At 40.4% G+C, this 22,381-nt stretch overlaps 1 protein-coding gene across 1 annotated transcript in view; it reads left to right on the plus strand.

Moving 5' to 3' along the window:
* The window catches only part of HSPA4 (heat shock protein family A (Hsp70) member 4), a 54,437-nt gene extending 33,241 nt beyond the window's left edge, over positions 1-21,196 (plus strand). The window contains exons 8-19 of the mRNA NM_002154.4: positions 1,529-1,605; positions 3,151-3,302; positions 3,802-3,908; positions 4,309-4,442; positions 5,940-6,121; positions 7,447-7,536; positions 10,845-10,997; positions 11,908-12,033; positions 14,292-14,399; positions 16,506-16,625; positions 18,612-18,773; positions 18,980-21,196. Of these exons, the coding sequence (NP_002145.3) occupies positions 1,529-1,605; positions 3,151-3,302; positions 3,802-3,908; positions 4,309-4,442; positions 5,940-6,121; positions 7,447-7,536; positions 10,845-10,997; positions 11,908-12,033; positions 14,292-14,399; positions 16,506-16,625; positions 18,612-18,773; positions 18,980-19,183 (1,615 nt within the window). The 3' untranslated portion in view covers positions 19,184-21,196. The remainder of the gene's footprint in view (positions 1-1,528; positions 1,606-3,150; positions 3,303-3,801; positions 3,909-4,308; positions 4,443-5,939; positions 6,122-7,446; positions 7,537-10,844; positions 10,998-11,907; positions 12,034-14,291; positions 14,400-16,505; positions 16,626-18,611; positions 18,774-18,979) is intronic.
* The last annotated feature ends 1,185 nt before the right edge of the window (positions 21,197-22,381 follow it).

The raw sequence follows: 22,381 nt of genomic DNA on the forward strand, positions 1-22,381 counted from the left end.
AAAGACATTGAGGAACCTTAAATGCATATTGCCAAGTGAAAGAAGCCAATTTGAAAAATCTGCATACTGTAGGATTCCAACTATATGACATTTTGGAAAAGGCAAAACTATGCAGACGACCGGGTGCGATGGCTCATGCCTGTAATCTCAGCACTTTGGAAGGTGAGGCAGGTGAATCACTTGAGGTCAGGAGTTCAAGACCAGCCTGACCAACATGGTGAAATCCCATCTCTACTAAAAAAAAAAAAATACAAAATTAGCCGGGCGTAGGTGGTGCATGCCTGTAATCCCAGCTTCTCAGGAGGCTGAGGCAGGAGAATTGCTTGAACCCGGAAGGTGGAGGTTGCAGTGAGCTGGGATTGCGCCACTGCACTCTAGCCTGGGCAACAAGATTGAAACTCCGTCTGAAAAAAAGCCCTGCCGCCCCCGCCCCCCAAAAAAAACTATGCAGACAATAAAACAGTCAGTTACCTGGAGTTTGGAGCAGGGAGGGATGAATAGTTGGAGCACAGGGAGGGATGAATAGTTGGAGCACAGGGAAGGATGAATAGTTGGAGCACAGTGAAATTATTCTGTATGTTACTGAAGTGGTGAATACTTACACATTGTTAAAACTCATAAAACACTAATAGGAACTATCATTTATCAGCATTGACTCATTAATTGTAACAAATGTACCATACTAATGCAAGATGTTAATAGAGGAACTGGGCTGGGAGTGAGGAGGGGATGTATGGGGATTCTTGTTATGTTCATTTCTCTGTAGACCTAAAACATCTAAAAATGTGTATTAATATAAAAGAAAGAGACATGGTTGTGCATGCCTGTAGACCCAGCTACTTGGGAGGCTAAGGTGGGAAAATCACCTGAGCCTGGGAACTCACTGCTGAGGTTGCAGTGAGAGTGAGCCAAGATCGTGCCACTGCACTCCAGTCTGGGCAATAGAGTTAGACCCTGTCTCAAAAACAAACAAACAAAAAACAAACTCTGTACTCATTAGGTGTCCTTCCCATCTCTTCTTCTTCCCTTTTGTCATTGGTAGCCGCTCGTCTCCTTTCTCTGGATATACCTATTCTGAATATTTCACATAAATTTTTGTTCTTGTTTGACTTTAACCCAGCATAATGTTTTCATGTGTTGTGATATGTATTAGTTCCTCTTATTGTATTCATTCATTTGTATCGCTTTATACAGTTGATAGGCATCTGGGTTGTTTCAGCTGCTTGTGAACGTTGATATACCAGTTTTGTGTGTGAACATGTGTTTTCTGTTCTTTTGGCTATATACCTAGAATGGAATTGCTGAATCATATGCTAACTCTCTAACGTCTTGAGGAACTGCCAAACACTTTTCCCAAGTGGCTGCACCATTTTCATTTTCTATTACCTGGGAATGTATGAAGGATCCACTGTCTCCACATTTTGCCAGCACTTGTTGTTACCTGTTTTTTATTATAGCCATCCATTCCACATAAAAGTGGCATGTGATTTAATGTACTGTGTTTTTTGTTTTGTTTTGTTTTTTATAGAGGCAAATTTCTGGAGATGTGCAATGATCTCTTAGCTAGAGTGGAGCCACCACTTCGTAGTGTTTTGGAACAAACCAGTAAGTATTTTTGTGATTGAATTTGTTTGCGTATCTCAGACTGTTTGGAAATTGTTATTTATTATCTTACTTTTGCAAGCAGTGATAGAAATTTTTATTGTATGAACTAATTCAGTGGTATATATTAAACTTTTTTTCAACCTGTATCTTCCCCCTGCCCAAAGTAATCTTTTGAAATGTCTAGGGAAATCTAATAAAAGTTTCTCCAAGAAACTGAATTCAGACTGAAAGTTGGATATAAGCCTCACAATTATTTAATGGTGGTAAAAATTGTCTTTTGCGATGCTGATATGGTAGTCTTATAAGCTTTTCTGTCAGTGAATTCTTCCCTAGCTGGATGAGAGCTACAGCAAAGTGGGAAGGTAGGATAACCACATACTTATTTAACAAGATGCTTTAATTTTGTCTCAGGCTAAAAGGTGACTGTTTGATTTAGGAATATATACTAATTTTCCTAAAATCTTTCTTTGACAAACCATTTACCTGGACTTCACTGTTGTGTTGATTGCTATTTCAGAGTGTTGGGATATACTGTCAGCTTGGCACAGGCTTTCCTCTTTAGTGATGATGGCAAATGGGCTTATTTCCACACTGGGAAAGCCCATTTCTTTAAATAGCCCTTCTCAAGAAGTTATCAATGGTTGTTAGATAAAATGTGACCAGGAAATCAGGTGATATTAAGAAGTATTTTATGAGCAATAGCAGATCCTTTGATACACACCTTCTTTCTGATACGAAGAAACTGTACCTGTAGTTTATTTTTTATTTTATTTTTATTTTTTGAGATGGGAGTCTTGCTCTGTCACCCAGGCTGGAGTGCAGTGGTTCAATCTCAGCTCACTGCAACCTCCACCTCCTGGGTTAAAGCAATTCTCCTGCCTCAGCCTCCTGAGTAGCTGGGATTACAGGCATGCGCCACTACTTCTGGCTAATTTTTGTATTTTTAGTGGAGACGGGGTTTTACCATGTTGGTCAGGCTGGTTTTGAACTCCTGACCTCAGGTGATCCGCCCACTTCGGCCTCCTAAAGTACTGGGATTACAAGCATGAGCCACCATGCCTGGCCTCTACCTGTGTTTTAACGTGGACTATGTTTATGCCTTGGATTAGAACACTGGAGTAGCTGGATGTGATTCTTCTTTTTTTTCCTTTAATGTCAGGTCAGAATAACTCAGTGGTTTGAGGCCCTCTTATTTTCCTGATGGCTAGCGTGTTTGAATGTTTGGTCTGTTGATGTTTTAACACTTGTTTGTGTGAGATTGTGTGAGAAATTCAGGACCTGTACACTGCAGTACATTTGAGGATTCCTGGCCCTCACCTCCTAAATCCCACTAGCTACCCTTCCCCCATTATTTTGAGAATTAAAACACCTACTTGTTTCCAGATGCCACCTGCCTCTGTGAGTGTGGGCATGAGTATGTGTGTGTTGCGGAGGTGGGTGAGGGAGTTGGAGGAGTTTTGTTACACATCTGAGTTATTTCATCATGGTAAGATGTTATTGTTCTTTCATTTCATTAAAAAAATCTGTCTAATTCTTTAAAAATAGAGTTAAAGAAAGAAGATATTTATGCAGTGGAGATAGTTGGTGGTGCTACACGAATCCCTGCGGTAAAAGAGAAGATCAGCAAATTTTTCGGTAAAGAACTTAGTACAACATTAAATGCTGATGAAGCTGTCACTCGAGGCTGTGCATTGCAGGTGAATATTCTTTCTTTTATAGGTAACCATTTATAAATCATTGTAACAAGATGGCAGTGGTTTATGTATCTAATAACCTGGGATTAGCTCAGGGTGACTTCAGGGTGTTGAGATTCCAAAACCTTTGTTTTAAAATAGAGGTGATGTTCCTAAAAATAATTGTACTCTATAGCACATAAGATGAATTAATTGACTAGAAACATAGGTAACTCTGAGCCTGAAGTATGACTGGAAGTTTGGCCTGTTATGTATGTCTGTATGAAATAGTGTACATTAATTAAATAAGGGTTGGGGTTAATAGAAAAATAAGGAATAGCTAGATTATATAGGTAATTGACATGATAGAAGTTTGTAAAACTGTTCAGACACCATTAAATTACTAATATAAATATTTTAAAAAGACCATTGATTTTCTGAAGTAATTTGTATGTTTAAGTGATATTATCAGTTTATATTGTCTATACTTGTTAAACGGAATTTTTGAAAATTATTATTCTAGTGTGCCATCTTATCGCCTGCTTTCAAAGTCAGAGAATTTTCTATCACTGATGTAGTACCATATCCAATATCTCTGAGATGGAATTCTCCAGCTGAAGAAGGGTCAAGGTATCATGTTTATTAATCATTTACATATCTAAAGTTAATTGACTATTAGGTCTGAGTAATATGTTGCTTTTCATTTCAGTTTACATAAATCTGTAACATTTTATCATAGTGCATGAAGGAAGTGGTCATTTATTTTAGTCAGAATAAATTTGTGTCCTTAATTAGTTTCTCACACTTGATTCTGCTGAAATCATCAGTGCCTTTTATGTGCAGATTGACGTATATTCCTTTTTTACTGACTTTATATATAAAGATTCTTGGGAACTCTTATAATCTGGAAATAATACCAATTGAAAAGAGAGAGAAACTAACACTGTACAATAATTACAAACCTAGAACACATGGGTAAAAGTGTTAGGAATATCCTGAATTTGTGTTTTTGTCTTTTTCCTCCATTCAGTGACTGTGAAGTCTTTTCCAAAAATCATGCTGCTCCTTTCTCTAAAGTTCTTACATTTTATAGAAAGGAACCTTTCACTCTTGAGGCCTACTACAGCTCTCCTCAGGATTTGCCCTATCCAGATCCTGCTATAGGTAAGTAAAGAGTTGGAAATTAAAAAAGAAAAAAAAAAAAAAGCACAGTGGCTCACAACTGTAATCCCAACACTTTGAAAGGCTAAGGTGGGAGGATCACTTGAGCTGAGGAGTTCGAGATCAGCCTGGGCAACATAGTGGGACCCTGTCTCCATTTAAACAACAACAAAAAAAAGCTTATCTACTTGGAGAGTTCGCATAGTAGAAAGAACAAGTATGGTATTCTGAAATTTAGGGGCTTTAGATTGCAAAAGAAAACCTCTTCCAGTCTCGTTAGCAGGTTTAGAACCAGCCAAATGGCTGTTATTTAATTGGATCTCCCATTGTATCGGCAGTTTTTCTTGGTTAGCGCACATTGTAATTATAACTTATGTATAAGGTGGTGCTATATACTATAAGGAGTTAACGAAATTCAGTTTGGACCCTAACATACAGTTATAAGATGTATATAGAAAATAGCCAGGTGCGGTGGCTCACGCCTGTAATCCCAGCACTTTGGGAGGCCAAGGCGGGCAGGTCAGGAGATCGAGACCATCCTGGCTAACATGGTGAAACCCCGTCTCTACTAAAAAAATACAAAAAAAAATTAGCCAGGTGTGGTGGCGGGCGCCTGTAATCCCAGCTACTTGGGAGGCTGAGGCAGGAGACTGGCGTGAACTCGGTAGGCAGAGCTTGCAGTGAGCTGAGATCACGCCACTGCACTCCAGCCTAGGCGACAGAGCGAGACTCTGTCTCAAAAAAAAAAAAAAAAAAAAAAAAAGGATGTATATAGAAAATCATTAGGAGATGGTGATACAATATCAAAACATACTAGGTTTCAGAACCGTGTTATCTAGAGTAGTTATAGACTCTGGGAAACTCTTATCTGGAAATAATACTAGTTGAGAAGAGATAGAAACTAGTTATAGTATAAAGACCTAGAATATATGGGTAAAGAAATTAGGAGTATCCTGAATGGCATTTAGAAGCTGTGGAAAGTTAACCTATTCTTTTTTCCCCATCTGTAAATCTGTAAAACCAGGAATAACAATGATAATTCATACTTTGCAGAGTTCTGGGAATGAAGAAAATGTAAATAAAAACCTTGTACAGTCACTGGACCTAGAAATGGCAATTTACTGATAAACGACAAGCAGAGTGGAATCATTTTTTTTTTCTGTTTTGTTTTTTGAGTAGAGAATGTGACAAATCTGTTTTAGGAATTAATCTGAAAGTAGCATATAAAGATAAATGGAAATAAGAAATTGGAAGAAAGGAAAGAATCGGGAGATATTTGAGTTCTTAATTGGGGCAGGATAAGATAATAAGAGACTGTGAAAGAAGAAAGAGAAATCTGATGATTTAATAAGATTCTAAAAGGACCGATTTTGCTTATTTTAAGCATCATGTTACTGAGCTATCATTGAAAGTAGACATAATCTAGCAATGTAGGCATATATTCATGCTTGAATTCATCCTCTTAGGTTATGTGTTCTTTTGTCTCTCGTATGTCCCTAGCTCAGTTTTCAGTTCAGAAAGTCACTCCTCAGTCTGATGGCTCCAGTTCAAAAGTGAAAGTCAAAGTTCGAGTAAATGTCCATGGCATTTTCAGTGTGTCCAGTGCATCTTTAGTGGAGGTTCACAAGTCTGAGGAAAATGAGGAGCCAATGGAAACAGATCAGAATGCAAAGGAGGAAGAGGTAATCTAGACATTGTATACCACTTGTGATGGCCCAGAGGTGACTTGTCTAGAAATTGTAGCAAGCAGACTTGGTGGCAAGGCCGGAGCATTGTGACAGAGCTGCTGAGTGAGAGTGGGTTTGTATGTTTGCCCTTCCCCCAATATAAGTGAACCAGCAGTAGATTTTTATGCAGAATTTGTATAGAAGTGGAACACAAGTTGATTTCTTCTTTCAGATCATACACTTCTCAACTTGAGTTATTCCTGATTCTGGTTGTTGAAGAGTGCTCTGAGTCTCAGTTAATTATTTTCAAAAGTAGAATTGATTGTACACTCATTTGTTGGAATTATGCACTGGGTCTTGTCTTCATTGTGCATCAGAATCAAAGCTTTACAAAACTACAAATTACCTATGATTCCAGCACTTTGGGAGGCTGAGGCAGGAAGATTGCTTGAGCCCAGAAGTTTGAGGCCAGCCTGGGCAACAAAGTGAGACCCTCATCTCTACAAAAAGTTAAAAACAACAACAACAACAACAAAAAAACTAGCCAGGTGTGGTGGCACACACCTGTGGTCCCACCTGCATGGGAGGCTGAGGCAGGAGGATTGCGTGAGCCTAGGAGGTCAAGGCTGCAGTGAGTCCTGTTTGCGCCACTGCACTCTAGCCTATGTGTCAGAGTGTGACCCTGCCTCAAGGAAAACAAAACTACAAATGCTTGGGTTTCATCCCCACAGATTTTACTGAAGTTGGTCTGAGCTGAGGTAGCAGTAGTTTTAAAAGCCTCTCAGGTCATTCTAATATGTTGCAGGCATTGAGAAGCCACTGGTTCAGGCTCTCCACAAACCTTCTTTCATTGTTATTTTTAGGCTTTGTAATTTTAACGTGTTCGCCTCCCCGAGCACATGCAGTGGTCATACTTTTGAGGATGAAGAGAGGCTGACTTAGGAACTATTTGAAAAAGTTGGAACTTTTGAGAGAAAATACCTTTGAGGAAGCCTGGAGAAGCTTATGCTCTCTTCAGGTTGTATTTTGTAGATTGTATTAAATGATGCCACATTGTGAACTGTGAGTACTTAATGGTGTACAAAGCAGTTCCACAGTTATTCTTGTGTATGTAAGGGTAGGGCAGGGCGAGTGTTATCCTCATTGTACAGATGTATTAACTAAGATCCAGAGCGGAAAACTTCTGTGTCCTAGGTAATGTGGCCTACCTGGAATTTTAGCATAGGCCTTCTGATTGCTGGTAATTCAGCAGGAATTACATAACTATGTGACTTTGTCAATGTGTAATGAAGGTTGTTTAGTCTTCCTAATTGCAGGATTTAATTTGACCTGTTTTTCAGAAGATGCAAGTGGACCAGGAGGAACCACATGTTGAAGAGCAACAGCAGCAGACACCAGCAGAAAATAAGGCAGAGTCTGAAGAAATGGAGGTATGCATTGGGTGGTGTTTTTTTTTTTTTTTTTTTTTTTTTTTTTTTTGAGACAGAGTTTCAGTCTGTTGCCCAGGCTGGAGTGCAGTGACATGATCTCGGCTCGCTGCATCCTCCACCTCCTGGGTTCAAGTGATTCTCCTACCTCAGCCTGCTGAGTAGCTGGGATTACAGACGCCCACCACCACGGCAGCTATTTTTTTTTTTTTTTTGTATTTTTTAGTAGAGTTAGGGTTTCACTGTGTTGGCTAGGCAGGTCTCGAACTTCTGACCTCAGGTGATCCACCTGTCTTGTCCTCCCAAAGTGCTAGTATTACAGGCGTGAGCCACCACACCCGGCTGAGTTGTGTTTTAGAGTATGCACTGCAGTCTTTTTAAAGTACATGGTTTTGGCTGAGGGGCAGTGTCTTGAAAGATAGTTATACTAGAAACTCTTAATTTATTTGAACAATTTTTTTAGGAAGATTTTGTAGTGATTTGTAATGTGCTATTTGCAAGATGGCCTTTAAACTCTCTCCTGGTTGATACATGGGAAGAAAGCACTCAGGAATCCTAGTTTTACTAGGCTAGTGATTTATTTATGCTAGTTTCTGAATGGCTTATACTAAGTCTTTCTACCCATAATTTAATTCATTACTGATAAACAATAATGAAACTGAAAAAATTTTCAAAATCATCAATGATCCATGCCTTTTACTTTTTAATCTTTTTATTTTTTTGAGATGGACTCTAGCTCTGTCGCCCAGGCTGGAGTACAGTGGCATGATCTCGGCTCACTGCAGCCCCCGCCTTCCAGGTTCAAGCGATTCTTATGCCTCAGCCTCCTGGGTAGCTGGGACTACAGGCGTGCACCATCACGCCCGGATAATTTCTGTATTTTTAGTAGAGACAGGGTTTCTCCATGTTGGCCAGGCTGGTGTTGAACTCCTGACCTCAAGTGATCCTCCCACTTCAGCACCCTGGGATTACAGGCATGAGCCACTGCGCCCAGCCAAAATAACAACTTTTAATAAAAAGGCATGGGGCCTGGTTCAGTGGTTCATGCTTGTAATCCCAGCACTTTGAGAGGCCGAGGTGGGTGGATCACTTGGGGTCAGGAGTGAGACCAGCCTGGCCAACATGGTGAAACCCCGTCTCTACTAAAAATACAAAATTTATCCCAGTGGGGTGGTACACGCTGGTAGCTCCAGCCACCCAGGAGGCTGAGGCATGAGAATTGTTTGAACCTGGGAGATGGAGGTTATGTGAGCTGAGATTGTGCCACTGCACTCCAATTTGGGCGACAGAGCAAGACTCCATCTTAAAAAGTTATTTTAAATAATGGAATAATGGATTTAAATATATTTTGTGATTAATGTAAATAATGTATTTATTTCAAAAAGAGTAGTAACATTTTTGAATCCTTTACAACCTATTCTTTAATTTTGAGTTGTCATGTTTAAATTTTTTTATCATTGAAAATATCTTTTATTTATAAAATTACAATGTATAATCTCACCATCTTAGGAGTTTCTAATTTTAAAAAGTTTCTAATTTTTACAAATTTCTAATTTAAAAGTGACATTTAAAAAAGTTGGACAGAACCTTAAAGTGGCTTAAGTCCGTTGTATATTTTCATGTCAATTAACAAAATTTAATTGCTTTTCTTTAGCTGTGCAAGTAATATTAAAAAGGAAAATGGACAGGAAATGGTGCTTACAGATTCTTTAGTTGGGTCAGGCCTTTTTCAAGATGGAAGACCCTTTATGTTGTTGGGTGGGATGGGGGCAGCAGTGGCAGAGACAAGGACTTGTTCTCCTATATGTTTGTGGAAGGTGGGTGAAGAGAAGGGAGAAGTGACGGCTGCTTCCCCAATGCCTTTGAGCTGTGGGAGGGGGTTTTAGAGGTATTAGTTATCTAGGCTTCCTTGGGATGGCTCAGAAACTAAAGTGCCTTTTGCATAGCATTGCTTCTAAAGGCAAATGAAATAGAAATGATAGATAAATTTCAGCAGCCGACTTAAGTTAGTTATAGGAGGTGGGAAATGACATTAAGGTTTTGCTTTATCATAGAACAAATTGAATTCCAGATGAATTCTAAAGTTGAAAGTTGAAAAAGCTTGAAGTGAATATTTTTCTAATCTGTGGATGAGGAAGGGCTTTCAGAGTATGAAAGCAACATAAGTAATCTCAAAGGAAAAGATGGATAGATTTGACAGTCAAAACTTATATGTAGACAAATAATACAGTTAGAAAAAACTAGAAGAGTCGCTGTGGCTCACACCTGTAATCCAGCACTTTGGGAGGCTGAGGCAGCGGATCACCTAAGGTCAGGAGTTCGAGACCAGCCTAGCCAACATGGTGAAACCCCATCTCTACTAAAAATACAAAAATTAGCTGGGCAGGAGCCTGTAATCCCAGCTACTCAGGAGGCTGAGGCAGGAGAATCTCTTGAACCTGAGAGGCAGAGGTTGCAGTGAGCTCAGATTGTGCCATTGCACTCCAGCCTGGGCTACAGAGCGAGACTCCATCTCAAAAAAACAAACAAAAAAAACTAGAAGAGTCAGTTGTTTGTGGGGGAAAGAAACACTGCAATCCTAAGAGAAGAGTGGATAAAATATTACTAGGCAGTTTGAGGAAATAGTTACATATGGCTTGTAAGTGTCTGAAAAAGGTTAAAAGAAACTCATACTGAATAACAGTGAGATGATGTTAAATGAATTCTCATTTGTGGACAGGGTGCAGTGGAATGAGTTTTTTCCTTGTGAGAATATAAATAGTTACAGACATTATAGAAATCAAATTACCAATATGTTACTACTGATCCATAGATATTTCATACCCTCCTCCTCACTAACTTCATTTGAATGTCTATATGTTTAAATAAAGGTAGAAAAATTTTTAATAGTAATTATATATTGATACGGGATTGTAGGAGATATGTATTTTATAAAATTTACCATCTTAACTGCTTTTAAGTGTACCATTCAGTAGTGTTAAGTAGATAGACATTGTGGTGTAACCAATCTTCAGAACTTCATCTTGAAAAACTGAAACTCTATACCCATTAAATAACTTTCCATTATTCCCCTCCCCCATCCCCTGACAGCCACTATTCTGCTTCCATTTTTATGAATTTGACTGCTCTAGATACCTCATTGTATTTACTTATTTTTTATTTTCTAGATGTTATGGTAGTCCTAAGTTACTTAGATCATCATCAAAAGAGAACGAAGTAAAAAAAGCAAAAACAGTTTTCCAACATGACTCATTTTGAAGTTTAAGGTAGTCTGTATATGTGTTTGTTCTTAATGATTTCTATTGTTTTAGACCTCTCAAGCTGGATCCAAGGATAAAAAGATGGACCAACCACCCCAAGCCAAGAAGGCAAAAGTGAAGACCAGTACTGTGGACCTGCCAATCGAGAATCAGCTATTATGGCAGATAGACAGAGAGATGCTCAACTTGTACATTGAAAATGAGGTTGTTATTTAAAGTCTATTGGAACAATGAGCTAACAAATTAATGTTACCATAGTATTCAGACTCTGTGTCTAGTGACTTTTTGCATTTTTGATTGTTTGGACTTAGAGAAAATAAATTAGACTTTTGTGTGGTATTGTAAGGGCAAGTTGAAGCAATAGATCCCATGTTATGTCAATTCTTTTATGGTGGTACTAAGATGTCTGTATTGCTAGAAGCTCTGTTATGAAAATTTTGACATATAATGTCTTTGGTGTAGGGGAGGTATTGTTCATTTTTGAATACGTGGGTATATTTGTTCACTAGAGATTGGGATATTTGAGGTTGGTGGTCATGGAAGTTATTCAGTAGGAGAAATCGTATGGCATTAATGGTGGCAGTATTTTGCTTATTCCTTTCCGTTGCCAGTCAGTATGTAAATATAGTAACTCTTACTGAGTGATGCAAGGTTTGGGATTTGTGAGCACATTTATTGAATTAATTTTTGTCTATGAGGTTTCTTACCAGGTTTCCACTGGATCTTAGAATAGTTTTGTCTTATGGAAACTTCAGCATTTATACTGCGTGAATGAATTTGATTTTTCTTATCTCATATTAATACAGCAGAGGATATCACTTAGTGACATTGAACCAATAGTTTTTTAAATTTCTCTTGTCTTAAATTCTTTAATTTTGCTTTTGAGTGTCTACACCTTGATATTTCTATTGTTCTTTTTTTTAATCCCACCTACAAAACTCTTTTTGATATTCAAAGTCTGTCAAGGATTAGTCTTCCCACTTACCTTTGTTATGTGACTTGCAGAACTAAAAGGATTTGGGGAAGAAAGAGTCTCTACTTTTATAATTATATTGGTATTTAAGAGGAAATTAGTTGTCCTAATGTCTGATTTATACATAATATTTATTCTCAGGGTAAGATGATCATGCAGGATAAACTGGAGAAGGAGCGGAATGATGCTAAGAACGCAGTGGAGGAATATGTGTATGAAATGAGAGACAAGCTTAGTGGTGAATATGAGAAGTTTGTGAGTGAAGATGTAAGTCTGCCACAATATGCCTAACTACTGTGTGTCTTCTGTGAACATCTTTAAGTGGGTTAGAAGGGAAGTGTGCAGCTATATGTGTATAGTAGAATTATTAAAAATGGAGTTTTTCTGGGGGGGGCAAAATTTTATATTTTTTTATATATTTCTCTATTAGTACAGTGTTTAGTAAGGTTTGGTCTTTGTGCATCACGTTCACAAATCACTTTTGACACATTCGAATATTGTTATTTATCTTGTATCTTTCTTTTCTTTTCTTTTTTTTTTTTTTTTGAGACAGAGTTTTGCTCTTGTTGCTCAGGCTGGAGTGCAGTGGCGTGATCTCGGCTCACTGCAGCCTCCGCCTCCCAGGTTCAAGCAGTTCTCCTCCCCCAGCCTCCCGAATAGCTGGGATTACAGGCATGTGCCACCAAGCCTGGCTAATTTTTGTATTTTTAGTAGAGATGGGATTTCTCCATGTTGATCAGGCTGGTCTCTAACTCCTGACCTCAGGTGATCCGCCCGCCTTGGCCTCCCGAAGTGCTGGGATTACAGGTGTGAGCCACTGCGCCCAGCCTGTATTTTTCTTTAAATTGTTAAAGCTCACTTTTTCCTGTTTATTGTAACTCAGAATTTTTAGTTTTTTTTTTTTTTTAATTTGAATAGCTCTTGGGTACAGGTGGTTTTTGGTTACATGGATGAATTATATAGTGGTGAATTCTGAGATTTTGGTGCACCTGTCATCCACGTCCTGTACATCATACCTAAGATGGTAGTTTTTTTATCCCACACCCCACTTCTGTCCTCCCGCTTTTGAGTCTCCAAAGTCCATTATATTTCTGCATATGCTCCATAGCTTAGCTCCTACTTATAAGGGAAAACATAGCAGTATTTGGTTTTCCATTCCCAAGTTACTTCACTTAGAATAATGGCCTCCAGCTCCATCCAGTTGCTGCAAAAGACATTATTTTGCTACTTTTTATGACTCAGTAGTATTCCATGGTGTGTATATACCACGTTTTCTTTATTTTATTTTTATTTTTTATTTATTTATTTTTGAGACGGAGTCTCGCTCTGTCGCCCAGGCTGGAGTGCGGTGACGCGATCTTGGCTCACTGCAGGCTCTGCCTCTCAGGTTCACGCCATTCTCCTGCCTCAGCCTCCGGAGTAGCCGGGAGTACAGGTGCCTGCTACCACGCCTGGCTAATTTTTTTTTTTTTTGTATTTTTTTTTAGTAGAGATGGGGTTTCACCGTGTTAGCCAGGATGGTCTCGATCTCCTGACTTCGTGATCCACCTGCCTCGGCCTCCCAGAGTGCTGGGATTACAGGCGTGAGTCACCGTGCCCGGTCTACCATGTTTTCTTTATTTACTCATTGGTTGATGGGTACTTAGTTGTTTTTATTTTTTTATTTTTTTGAGATGGAGTTTCGGTCTTATTGCCCAGGCTGGAGTACAGTGGTACGATCTTGGCTCACTGCAACCTCCACCTCCCTGGTTCAAGTGATTCTTCTGCCTCAGCCTCCCTAGTAGCTGGGACTACAGGCATGCTCCACCATGCCTGGCTAATTTTTGTATTTTTAGTAGAGACGGGGTTTCACCATGTTGGCCAGGCTAGTCTGTCCTTACCTCAGGTGATCCACCCGCCTCAGCCTCCCAAAGTGCTGGGATTACAGGCGTGAGCCAGTGTTCCCAGATGCACTTGCTTTTACATGCAGTTTTTATTCTGAAATTTTTTAACTTACCGAAAGCCCTCCACGGCAGGGAGAATAATATAATAAAACTCCCCATACCTATCAAGTAGACCAACATTTGCCATCCTTGTTTTCTGTATCTCCCATCTCCTTACTCCCCCTGTATCTTATCTTATTTTTTTTGAAATGGAGCCTTGCTCTGTTGCCCAGGCTGGAGTGCAGTGGCCCCATCTTGGGTCACTGCAACCTCCGCCTCCTGAGTTCAGGCAGTTCCCCTGCTTCAGCCTTTGTAGTAGCTGGGATTACAGGTGTCTACCATCACGCCCGGGTAATTTTTTTTGTATTTTTAGTGGAGACGGGGTTTCACCATGTTGGCCAGGCTGTTCTTGAACTCCTGACCTCAGGTGATCCACCTGCCTCAGCCTCCCAAAGTGCTGGGATTACAAGTGTGAGCCACTGCACCTGGCTGCCCTCTGTATTTTAAAGCAAATCTCAGATACATCATTATATTCTATGCCTCTGACTGTATTGGGGATGTAATTTTTGATTGACCTAATTATAATATTTTCTTTATCATTAGGATCGTAACAGTTTTACTTTGAAACTGGAAGATACTGAAAATTGGTTGTATGAGGATGGAGAAGACCAGCCAAAGCAAGTTTATGTTGATAAGTTGGCTGAATTAAAAGTAAGTGACTCTTGAGAGCAGAGGTATCCAGAACCCTTGTTGAAGCTTCCTCTGAGGAGCTCAAATTTGGGAGGAATTCTCAAGTAAAGACAGACTGAAAATGATGTTTGATGAACTAAAATAAACCCTTTATGACTTAGGCTCATTATCATTCTCACTTTTAGAACCTTGTAATAACAAAATGATTTTTCTGAAAATTGACTTTAGGTTTGTAATGTTTCACTGAACTGGATGTTTAGTGCATTCTTGGTGTCAAGAGATAAAATGACTGCAAGACTTAGTACCTGCCCTAAAGGCACAGGGAATGCAGCTGGAGCAGGGCTGTTTCTGTTTATGTAGTTTGGATTCTTGATAAAAGCAAAGCATCTGGTGGTTTATTTTTTATTATTTTATTTATTTATTATTTATTTATTCATTTATTTATTTTTAAATACACAGTCTTGCTCTGTTGCCCAGGCTGGAGTGCAGTGGCGCAGTCTCGGCTCACTGCAACCTCTGCCTCCTGGGTTCAGGGGATTCTCATGCTTCAGCCTCCAGAGTAGCTGGGATTACAGGCGCGTGCCACCATGCCTAGCTAATTTTTGTATTTTTAGTAGAGACAGGGTTTCTTTTCACCATGTTGGCCAGGCTGGTCTTGAACTCCTGACTTCAAGTGATCTGCATGCCTTGGCCTCCCGAAGTGCTGGAATTATAGGTGTGAGCCACCATGCCTAGCCAAAGCATCTGGTTTTGTATTTAAAGCATCTGATCTTTTTTTTTTTTGAGACGGAGCCTTGCTCTGTTGCCGAGGCTGGAGTGCAGTGGCGTGACCTTGGCTCACTGCAAGCTCCGCCTCCCGGGTTCACGCCATTCTCCTGCCTCAGCCTCCCAAGCGCGGTGGCTCATGCCTGTAATCCCAGCACTTTGGGAGGCCTAGGCGGGCGGATCACGAGGTCGGAGATCGAGACCAAGGTGAAACCCTGTCTCTACTAAAAATACAAAAATTAGCCGAGCGTGGTGGCGGGTGCCTGTAGTCCCAGCATCTGATCTTTTAACATTAGGATTAAACATGAAAGAATTACATAAAATTGAGGCCTTTTGTTCAGAAAAGGTTGCAGATGCACAAGAATGAACTTTTTACATTTCTCTTTAAATTTAGCTCTGGATTACTTGGTTTCTTGTGGAACTGGGCCATTTTGAATCTCACTCTGTCAGTCGGGCTGGAGTTCAGTGGTGTTATCACGGCTTACTGCAGCCTCGACCTCCCATGCTCAAGTGGTCCTTCTGCCTTAGTCTCCCAAGTAGCTAGGACTACAGCTGTGCGCCATCACGCCTGGCTGTTTTAATTTTTTTTGTAGGGAAAGGGTCTCCCTGTGTTGCCCAGACTGGTATGGGTACTCCTGGACTCAAGCAATTCTCCTGCCTTGGTCTCCCAAAGTGCTGGGATTACAGGCATGAGCCACCGAACCTGACCAAGCACATCTTAATATCACTGTTGTATTAAGTTTTCAAGTTCCAGTTATTTCATAAATGATTTTTTTGTTTGAATCAGTATCCGTATAGGGCTCATAGATTTTATTGATGTCGCTTATAACTGTGTCTATAGTTCTTCTTCCGTTATTTCCCCATGTCGCCCCACCCTTTCCTTATTTAGTTTATGAGGAAATTGGATCATTGGTCCTGTAGGATTTTCCTCTAGTTGGATTTTGCTGATTTTCACCTCCCTGGTGGTATTTAACATTATTTGTTAAATTGATGGTTACATTTAGAGGCTCCATCAGATTCAGATGTTTAAGATTTTAAATTAAAACATTTTTTATTTTTGGCAAGTATACTTTATATTTAGTACTGTGTATCTCCATTAGGAGGCACCTAATTTTTGGTGGTCTCCCTGCTGTGTTTTGAGGGCTCAGGTGACAAATTGAAGCGATTCCAGATGGATCAGTGTTGAGGTATAGTTTCATTCCCCTCCTGAAGTAGCTTCATATTTCCAAAGGCCTGGAGAAATATATTTAACTTCTTATATATAGCACACGGAGATTAAATGTACTTTATCACTAGTTTTAGTGGAATCAGTACTCTGGATCGTTGAACTGCCGTATGAAGACTGTGTATTCTTCTGTTAAGAATCTAGGTCAACCTATTAAGATACGTTTCCAGGAATCTGAAGAACGACCAAAATTATTTGAAGAACTAGGGAAACAGATCCAACAGTATATGAAAATAATCAGCTCTTTCAAAAACAAGGTAACTTTTTTCTTTGTCCTACTCTTATTTTAGTAAAGTTAACTTTTTTTTTTTTTTTTTTTTTTTGAGACGGAGTCTTGCTCTGTTGCCCAGGCTGGAGTACAGTGGTACAATCTCGGCTCAGTGCAACCTCCACCTCCTGGGTTTAAGCAATTCTCCTGCCTCAGCTTCCCGAGTAGCTGGGATTACAGGCGTGCACCACCACGCCCAGCTTATTTTTGTATTTTTAGTAGAGATGGAGTTTTGCCATGTTGGCCAGGCTGGTCTCGAACTCCTGACCTCAAGTGATCCACCTGCCTTGGCCTCCCAAAGTGCTGGCTGGTATTACAGGCGTGAGCCACTGCTCCCGGCCGTAAAGTTAACTTCTGAGGCATTTACATAGCATTTTTTTCTCTTGTTCTCATTAACTTGTTTAATAGCACTTTTTATTTTGGATATTAATGTAATGTGTAATGTTTTATAGCGTCTTAATAAGAACCATAGGATTTGCTGTATCTCTTTAATAGGTGGAATCTGGAATTGAACAGTGTTGTTCAGTTTCCTTTTCGTTGGTGTTTGACTTAACATGCACTATCCTGGTCTTTCTAACACCTGAGGCCAGTAATTATCCACACAGTACCTTTATAAGGTAGGGGGTGGTATCAACATTTATAGATAAATTCCAACTTATTGAAGCCTCACTTTCCTTAAGCAACATTCAGGGTCACTAAATTGGGAGAACTGTCATTTAGCCAGAAGTCTGACTCCAAAGTTCAGACTTTGGAGTATAAAGTTCCTCCATTATACCCCAGGTTCTTGACATATTGTTAGTGTAAGAAACTTTGAATGATAAATTGAGCTTTTGTGGGTTTTTGTTTGTTTGTTTGTTTTTGTGTTTTGACAAGTTCTCACTTTGTCACCCAGGCTGGGGTGCAGTGGTGAAATCTCGGCTCACTGCAGCCTCAATCTCTCTGACTCAAGCAGTTCTCCTGCCTCAGCTACTTTCTAAGTAGCTGGGACTATAGGCACGTACCACCACACCCAACTAGGGTTGTCTTTTTTTTTTTTTTTTTGAGATGGCATTTCACCATGTTACCCAGGCTGGTCTTGAACTTCTTAGCTCAAATGATCCACCCACCTCAACCTCCCAAAGTGCTAGGATTATAGGCATTAGCCATCAGGCCCCTCCTTTTTTTGTTTTTTTTTCCTCCTTCTTTTTTGTGAGACAGGGTCTCAGTCTGTTGCCCATGCTCTAGTGCAGTGGTGTGATCGTAGTTCACTGCATCCTCAACCTCCTGGGCTCAAGTGACTGTCCTGTCTCAGCCTCCTGAGTAGCTGGGACTATAGGCACATGGCCCTCATGCCTGGCTAATTTTTGTATTTTTTGTGGAGATGGGCTCATTGTGTTGTCCAGGTCTTGAAGTCATGAGCTTAAGCGATCCTCCTGCCTCAGCCTCCCATAGTGCTAAGATTACGAGCGTGAGCCACCACGCCTAGCCCGAAAGGCCTTCTTCTTCTTTTTTTTTTTTGAGATGTAGTCTCGCTCTGTTGCCCAGGCTGGAGTGCAGTGGTGTGATCTCGGCTCACTGCAAGCTCCGCCTCCTGGGTTCACGTCAAAGGCCTTCTTTTAAAAATAGTATTCATTATAGTTTTGGTTCCGAACTAGCATGCTGAAACTTCAGCTCTCATATCTAATGTAATTTTTTTGCATTGTGAAATTATCTTCCTAAGATTTTGTATAAATCGGGTGCTGCTGTTTATCTTGTTGAAGCCTTTTAATTGATACCTTATGAATTTTCTTGACCTTTAAAATTTAAATCTATCCTGAGTGTATTCAAAAATTGTGGTTAGGTTTCTTTTGAATAATTCTGTTCAGATTGTGAGGCTAAATATGCTTTATTTTTTGAAAGATTATAAGTTTTTGAAAAATGGCAGAAACTAGACAGTAGTTGCGGGGAGGGAGGGTATCACACTTTTAGCACTTGTTTGACTGTCTCCTGGTTGCAGGAGGACCAGTATGATCATTTGGATGCTGCTGACATGACAAAGGTAGAAAAAAGCACAAATGAAGCAATGGAGTGGATGAATAACAAGCTAAATCTGCAGAACAAGCAGAGTTTGACCATGGATCCAGTTGTCAAGTCAAAAGAGATTGAAGCTAAAATTAAGGTAATTTAAGACTTTTTTTTAATAGTCTTTTCTTGACAGCCTTATTATTAATAGTCCTCAAGTGACACTTAGGAGGGAACTTTATTATAGTGTTTTAGCTTCTAGGTTGAGGATTGGGTGGTGGGAGAGGGCGGATTTGGGTTTAGCATGGCTTGTAAAATTTGTTAATTTTATAAGAAACCAGTTTTCTGTCTTACCCATTCCAGGAGCTGACAAGTACTTGTAGCCCTATAATTTCAAAGCCCAAACCCAAAGTGGAACCTCCAAAAGAGGAACAAAAAAATGCAGAGCAGAATGGACCAGTGGATGGACAAGGAGACAACCCAGGCCCCCAGGCTGCTGAGCAGGGTACAGACACAGCTGTGCCTTCGGATTCAGACAAGAAGCTTCCTGAAATGGACATTGATTGATTCCAACACTTGTTTCTATTAAAACAGACTATTATAAAGCTTTAAGTTGTCAACTTTGTTCTAAATATCAACTAGCGCAAGTGAATACTGAAGATTTCTTAGTCAGTTTTTAGGGGATTTTCGGGGAGGGGAAATAGGTAATGTATGGAGCATTTTCACTTCTAAATAGTTAGATACAGAAATTAAGTGCATTGTATCTTTTTCATAATGGTACTATTTAGAAGCCCAGTTAGTCTTACTGAGCTTATGCTTCACTCCTTTATGTTTAACCATGTGTCTACAAGAATAAGTTTGTTTTGGAAAGTTGAGCTATAGCTACAGCTCTAGCTATCCAGCAGACTTTTCATTATGACTTACATGGCAGGAGCTCTAATTATGCTTTAAAAATCTGTTGTGGAGATTGCTTTAAATGCTCCCTGCCTGGTGTGGGGATGGGGTCCCCCTCTTTGTGAGGGCTGGAGCATGGCACGGCATGGATTAACACGGCAGAGGAACAAAGGTGTGCTCTGAGCTTCTTCATATTTCACCTTCACCCTCACCTGTGTTCTCTTCCCTCTCTCCCAATAAAAGGGCTCCCATTATAAATGCCATGTACTTCTCTTGGGAAAATAGACCCCCTTGCCTAGAGTAAGTTGTTAACTGAGGGCTTTAAACCTGGAGGCTCTTCCTGAAAGTATGTTCATGAATACCCCAAGCATCAAGGTCTAAATAATTTTCAGAAGATTAGAATTGGGTAGATATACTGTTGGATATAGCCATGGTAAATTTAACTGAGGAATTAAATCCTTGTTAATTTTGGTGTAAAGATTTGTATCCTGGCCTGTTTATTCAGGTGGGAGATGTTCTGTATAATTTTGAGGTATAGCTTGAACTCCTAGAACAAGAGTTAAAAGTTCTTTTTAGCTCATTCACAATCACTTGTGTGTTAAGTGTTAATATCTGTCATGAACCTGCCAATTTGTACGTGTTAAGCAGCTGACAGATGATGCAAAAAAAACTAAGATACACTGGATTGTACTGGATGAGTCTGAAATTAGTGTTAAAGAAGTGTGGTGCCTGATGTTATAACAACACCTCATTCTTAACTGTGTGGCCAATGTCAGGTATACCAAAGCATTCCTCTGACTGCTTTTTGGGGCAGTGTTGACAGGAGTGAGGCATTTTGGAAACTCCAAGGGAAGCCTGTGTTTGAGGCCAGAGTTGGTACCTGCTTTAAGAAACTGTTACAGGGCTTGTTGGTAATGTTTTGAATCTTTGTAAAAATTGATATTCTGTATAACAGAGTGCCTCTCTGTTACTTTTGGCCTATGTTGTTAGAAATAAGATGCTATCTTGCATAGTTAGAATTAAGCGTTTGTCCATCTCTAGATAACATTGAAAAGTTTGAGTGTTACAGGCTCTAAAGTGCAATGGAGAACAATTGCTTAGGAGGAGGAAGGGGAAAGTATACTTATGTTGGTGTGTAAGCATGCATGGAGGCCTCGAGGCACCACAACAAGGCCAGGTTCTTAGCACATCCTCTGTTCTCTACCTGTCATGCTTCAAGAGTTCCAGCTGGCCTGCTGTGAAGCCAGTAGCTATTTTAAAAGTGCTGGCTGCAGGATTAAGCCAACCCTTTACAACTGGCCCAGACCGTAATGGCCATTTCTTCTTAAAAAAAAAAAAATTTTTTTTTTTTTTTTTTTTTTTTTTTTTTTTTTTTTTGGTGTGTGTGTGTGTGTGTGTGGGGAAGGGTGTGGGTGCTGGGATGGGGGTGAATTTCAAGTTGAAACACGATGATGTGGTCTGCTTGCTCTCTGCTTAGACAGGCTTTAAGACCAATTGGATTTTCATGGAGGCCAGGACAGAGAGTGGTAATTGATGGCTTGTGTACAGACAAGCATTTATCCAGGTTGCGTTATCCAAACTGATTTGTTAAAGCTCCAGGTCACGTTCTTACACTAAGAAAATCATTCAGTAAACATGAGACAAGTTTAGGAAAAACTAATAAAATAAACCTGTCTTAAACTTGAATGGTTTCCTTAATTCCATAATGAAGGCTGCTGGGTGTGTGTGTGGGGGTGTGTGTGTATGTGTGTGTGTCTGTGTGTATGTGTGTGTGGGGTGGGGGCGGGGGGTGTGTTTTCAATAAAAATGTTCTCTAGGAGTAGGAACCCTCTGAGCTAAATTTCACTTAACATCCGTTGAAGACTTCCAGTCTGAAGAGTGACAGCTGAAGCACACTGCCTACTTTGTGAGAAAATGTTGCCTAATTTTTCTGTACTCAAACTCTCCAGTTGAGTCTTGGCCCAGTTCCTTTGGTGTTAGGAATCCTTGTCTTGCTCCTGTGACTGGGCCTTACTTTGAGGGTTTTGTTAGCAGAAGGCGGGGGTTATGGCATAAAGGTAAGTGCTAGGACTTACACCTGGCCAAAGAACAGCGCGGTCCAGAGTGTGCTAGAATAGTTGGCGCCACTGGATGTGTGGTGTGGCTGCGTGGAATGTGTGTTGGTGTATGTATGTGGTGGTGATGGGTGTTTAAAGGGCACTAAGCCAGTGAAAAAGACCTTAACTGGATAAGGCATGGGTCTAGACGAGGAGGGGTCAGGGGTCTTGTTCCCTGGGTCATGCCCCTTGCACAGTCCTAGTCCTCTGGCTGTAGGAGCAGCTTACCTGCCAGGGCCTACCCAGGGCCTATTGTAGCCACGTGTCTGAGAAACGTGTGTCTAGTAGGTTTGGTTTCCTCCTGAGCATGTAAGTGGTTTCTGTAGGGGAATTGTTAGATGTGGTAGAAAGAGCTGAGATAGCTGGGTGTGGTGGTGTGCACCTGTGATTCCAGATACTTGGGGGGCTGAGGCAGGAGGATCACTTGAGCCCAGGTGGTCAAAGCTGCAGTGAACTGAGATTGTGCTATTGCAACTCCAGCCTGGGTGATAAAGTGATACCCTGTCTCCTTAAAAGGTGGGGGCCTGAGAGATCAGGGTTCTGTTGTGGGGCAGTGGGAGCTGCTTTGCAGGGGCACAGGGGGCCTGGGGGTTGTTGGAGGTAGTGGGACTTAGTCCACCTTTGAGGGGACAGCCAAATGAAGGGGAAAATTGCTGGTTTTGGTACCTGCAGGAAGAGGGAAGATGTAAGCATGGTTCCAGCTGAAAACCATGCTTTAGAAGTTGGGATAGTAGTTACTCTTTGTGGAGTAGTGACAACATGATGTGAGGCTTGG

Source organism: Homo sapiens, chromosome 5 (assembly GCF_000001405.40).
Source record: "Homo sapiens chromosome 5, GRCh38.p14 Primary Assembly".
Classification (NCBI taxonomy): Eukaryota; Metazoa; Chordata; class Mammalia; order Primates; family Hominidae; genus Homo; species Homo sapiens.